The sequence below is a fragment of the Homo sapiens genome, chromosome 6 (genome assembly GCF_000001405.40).
Source record: "Homo sapiens chromosome 6, GRCh38.p14 Primary Assembly".
In the NCBI taxonomy this organism is placed as follows: domain Eukaryota; kingdom Metazoa; phylum Chordata; class Mammalia; order Primates; family Hominidae; genus Homo; species Homo sapiens.
The window spans coordinates 128838220-128842945 of record NC_000006.12 but is presented as its reverse complement, the minus strand read 5'-3'; the positions used below and the strand labels follow the sequence as shown (position 1 = coordinate 128842945).

At 35.0% G+C, this 4726-nt stretch overlaps 1 annotated feature.

The window, feature by feature from the left end:
• Positions 566–1765: an enhancer, noted in NCBI's record as "CDK7 strongly-dependent group 2 enhancer chr6:129162326-129163525 (GRCh37/hg19 assembly coordinates)". NCBI's record gives its function as "activates an origin of replication core promoter dependent on BRD2, BRD4, P300/CBP, MED14 and CDK7 cofactors, with strong dependence on CDK7, by STARR-seq in HCT116 cells {active_cell/tissue: HCT116}" and the evidence as "EXISTENCE:reporter gene assay evidence [ECO:0000049][PMID:35650434]".

The window sequence follows — 4726 nt, the reverse complement described above, 5'->3', positions numbered from 1 at the left end:
TACAACAAGCTTATTTTATACCAACAATACTTGACAAACACATATTCTTGTCTGTAAATAACATATCCGAATGGCTATGCTGACTGTAATCTCAGCCCCACTGCAGCTTCTGTACTGTTTATTTGCTGTTATTCATTGGCCCTCCCCTGTCTTCACGTATTCTACTTCTTTCTTTGCCAATCCCCGTGGACTACATTACACAAGTTCCTTTGTTGCCTGGCTTCTTATGGGATTTGAATAAAAGAAGGCACCATCAGGGGAAGAGAGGGAAGAAAGAAGGAGAAATTAAGTGTTATATTTTCACTACTCCATTGCTTTGGGCCATATTTCTGTGAGTAGTTTAACTCACCCACCCGTCTACAGCTCCCCCGTGTGTCCCCTTCCTCCATGATTGATTCCAGTTTTCAGCAGGCTCCAATACCGACTTTCCTGCCTTTGAACCTTCTGATCTAAGAGTGGTAATGGCTAGGCTTGGTGCACCTCAGTGGATTTCATTTGTTTTCTCAACCCTGTCCACATCTCTCTAAATAGTTATTTCACAGAGGAGTCTTCCTTTGAGCAACCTTGTGTGAATTGTTTTACCACTTGCATCAAGAAAATCCAATTTATCCTTAGCCCAAACTGGGATTAGGTTGGTTTATATTGTGAGTTATATGAGAGTTCAATCTCATTATAAATTAAATGTACTGTTTTAGATCTTCTGAGAAACTGATCCTTTAACAAAATATGCCTTCTATAGGACTATGCATTGTAATTCACTAATAGGCAAATTTACAAATAAATATTTAGAAATAACCTTGGAAAATGAAGGCAAAATAAGCTTTGTTTATTCCCTTGGCTCCTATGGTAGCCCTGGAAATGTAGTAGCCCTTAATATATGGCTATAGAAGGACTGATTGTAGGAAAAAGAAAAGAGAATGTTTTAGATACAAATTCAAAGGGGGCAATTTTAAAGTTGTACTTCAAGGATATGTTTTCTCGTAACAACTGTGAATGTCTGTTATGGGATGAGTTGCATTTACCCAAAATTCGTATGTTGAAGTCCCAACCCTCAGTACCTCAGAATGTAAGTGTGTATAGAGATAGGGCCTTTGAAGAGGTAATTAAGGTGAAATGAAGTCATAAACGTGGACCTTCATCCATGTGACTGTACTTGAGATAGGGCCTTCAAAGACAGGGTGAAGTCAAAATGAGGCTAGTAGGGTGGGGCCCTAATCCAAAATGACTCACGTCCTCATCAGATGAGAAAGAAACACCAGGAAGGCACAGGCACAGAGAAAAAGCCATGTGACAAAACAGCACGAAGACAGCCATCTGCAAGCCAAGAGAAGAGGCCTTACAAGAAGGTAAGTCCTGCCAACACCTTGATCTTAGACTTTCCATCTTCAGAACTGAGAAATAAGTCTCTGTTGTTGAAACCACTCTGTGGAATTTTGTTATAAAAGTCCTAGTAAGCTAACACAGTATCTTAATCACTATTTATAAATATAAGATCTACAGATCTATCTCACTTTTCAGATTTAGTGAAATAGCTTTACATTTCATTTTAAGTATGATTGTCTTGATTTGATAAATAAAATACTGATTCATTCCATATAGAAAAATATTGAGTGACATAAAAATACTGTAGAAACATGAAAGTGCAAGTAGTAGCTAAACACTGGATTAATTTGTGATATAAACCAAACTTACACACTCACTCAGAATAATCACCTCCAGTAAAGAAAATGTAGCTTTCCCACTGTTTTATTTCTAGGTTTTGATACATAGTAGGTACTCATTCTAAATTTGTATACAATGGTTGAATTAACGACTAAATAAATTCACATAACATTTTACAACAGTGATTCTCCAAGTGTGGTTCCTAGCCCATCAGCCTCCACATCAAGTAAGAACTTCTGAGAAAGGCACATTCCCAAATGCTACTCCAAATTTGTTGGATTAACAATTCTGGGCCAGCAATCTGAGTTTTAACAGCCTTCAAGTGACCCTGATGCAGGCTAAAGTTTGAGAACCTCTGATTTAGATTCAGTACAAATCTGAGAATTTCAACATTAAATGAATGACTGAAAAAGTATGTGGTGAGAAAGAGCTACTTATCTCATAAATACATTTAATTATTTCCTTCAGGTATTATTTTAATAACAGTTGATGTCAAAATGCAAAGTTATCATTATCGTTTGGATTCTAAATTTTACAGTGTAGCAAATAGCAACTCATTAATATTATAGTACTTAAATCTTGGTAATTATTAATAAGTTGTAACTTCTTCAAAATCTAGTTTTGGTTAACATTTAAAATATTTAAGGTAGTCTTTCAAAAAATATGCAAAGTAATAGGTCACATTTATACTGCATACCTTTAGTAACACTTGTCAAACAATAATAAAAATCCTAGTTCATTCAAAATTACTCACCTAGTCATCTGCTTATTCTTTCTGTTCCTCACAGTCACATGTAATTAGTCCTACAGTTTCCACTTCCTACATCTGATTTCCTCCCCTATGCCCTACTGCTTCTCTCCCTAGTTCAGACAATCACTTCTCAAATAGCCTATTATAAGATCAAGCTATTTGGTCTCCCTGCAGTGATCTCTCTACAATCTACACCTGGTAATATTATGCCCTAATGAAAAGTGTCTGGTGGGTTCCCTCACCCAGGATAAACTTGAAACTCCTGAGAGTTGAATCTACTTCCTTTCAGCATCTCACCCTTGCCTGCCTTTCCAGCCCCCACTCTCACAACTCCTTCACACACCTTTTGAACCCGAGACATTAAAAATTCCTTCCAGTTCCTCCAAAATATCATGTTCTCTCTGGCTGTCTTCCCTTTGTAAATACTCTTCTTACTGCCTTCACCAGAAACTCAACCTGCAGTTCCCAGTTCATCAACTCCTTCTCATCTCTTAATTGCTGGCCATGCGTTTGGGAAGCTGTTCCCTAGTTCCTATCAGTTAGGCACCCAACCTCTCTGCTCTCATAGCACATAGTCTGTCCTTCTAACATAGCATTAGTCACACACTTTCCAAATTGGTGTTTTACTTGCTTTTCTTCTTTATTGCATTGCTCCTTGATGGTAGCAATGGTGTCATTGTTTTTTAGTTTTTTTTAATACTGAGAAAATTTAAACAATACAGGGAAAAAATGATAAAATATACACTCACCTTACTATCATGTAGAAATAATTCATCATTTTATCATGTTTTATTTTTCTTACTAAAGAAATAAAATTACTCACTTAGGAACTATATGGAAGGAAAGACAAGTACAATAAGAATCCCCAATGTTTTCTTGCCACCTATAACTTGATAAATAATTTTCAACAACTTAAGAATTTCTATGAATTTTTAAATAAAATGGTAAAATGGAATTCTTTCTAACAAAGAATATTTTTTCGCTGCCTTTTATTTTCTTCATCTCCAAGTGACACAGATTGGGTGCAATAATTTTTAGTTGATTTAGACCTGTCAAAAGAAATACATCAGAATCCATTTCAACACATAAATTTCCAAGATTTTTCTCACATATATAGAGTCTTCCTGAAATCGAATTTCACTGCTAATATTTTAGTATGTGAAAGTTTTTGTTTCATGACATAGATAGTGTTCAAAAAGCCCCAAGAAAAAAGATAAACAAGAAAAGCCTCTGCTACTCACAAAGCTTAGAGCTGGAAGTACACAATCGAATTGTAGTAATAAAAAGTTACGTTAAATAGCAAACATGGTATTTACCTCAACTGTAAGATATATTTGAACTTGCATAGTCTACATTCATAGCTTGTGTAACAAAAGACTGCCTTTTAATAACACAAACAGAGTTGAGTACTCTCATGTAGTCTATCCAAACCAAGGCACGGTGTTGTCGATAAATAATCATTAGGCTCAGGTTTGGTTCCTAGTTGGCTAACGAGGATTGCGGACAAGAAGACTGATTACTTATATTCTAGTAGGGTATCTAATATCCACAGTTAAATGTTGATGTAAAATAATCAATAGAAGAATAATAAAGGAAAATAGCATTTCAAGATATCTGCAACAACTGTAATATTATATGGAAATATTTACTTGTTTACTTGTGACAAATAGAAGCCTATATAGCAGTGCTAATATTTCTGTGATTGGTTGCCTACATTCAATATAAAGGAAATGCTAAATTTCTGTTAGTCATCAGGGAACATAAAGATGCTTTCTGTCCAATCCATAGTAATAGACTCCTTGAGTTCTATCGATCTGAGATACCCAGGTTTAAAACTCTGTTAGGGAGGAGTATCTTATACAAACACCATGGAATCATTAACAGTCAGTGAGACAGTATAGGAAATTCCACAGAACACATGATCTAGTTGCTGTTGCTTCAACAAATAAATGAGGTGTTAGGTATACACACACAGACACACACACAACACACAATATTATATATTCAATGAAAATAAAGCAACTGTATAAGAAGCATTTTGGAAAAAGGAAAAAATGAACATGAACTTGGCATTAGATTACATTTATTTTGCCAAGTGTAACAATGATATTGTGATTAGATTTTAAAGTTCTTATCTAATAGAGATATATACTAAAGTTCTTATAGATAAAAATTAATATATCGCATTGGATTTGCTTTACAATATGCCAGACAAAAAGGTGATGTAGCAATTGATGAAATAAGAGTGGCGGAATATTGACAGTTGTTAAAGCTGGGTACGTAGGGTCCTATTACATCATTTGTTATAATTTT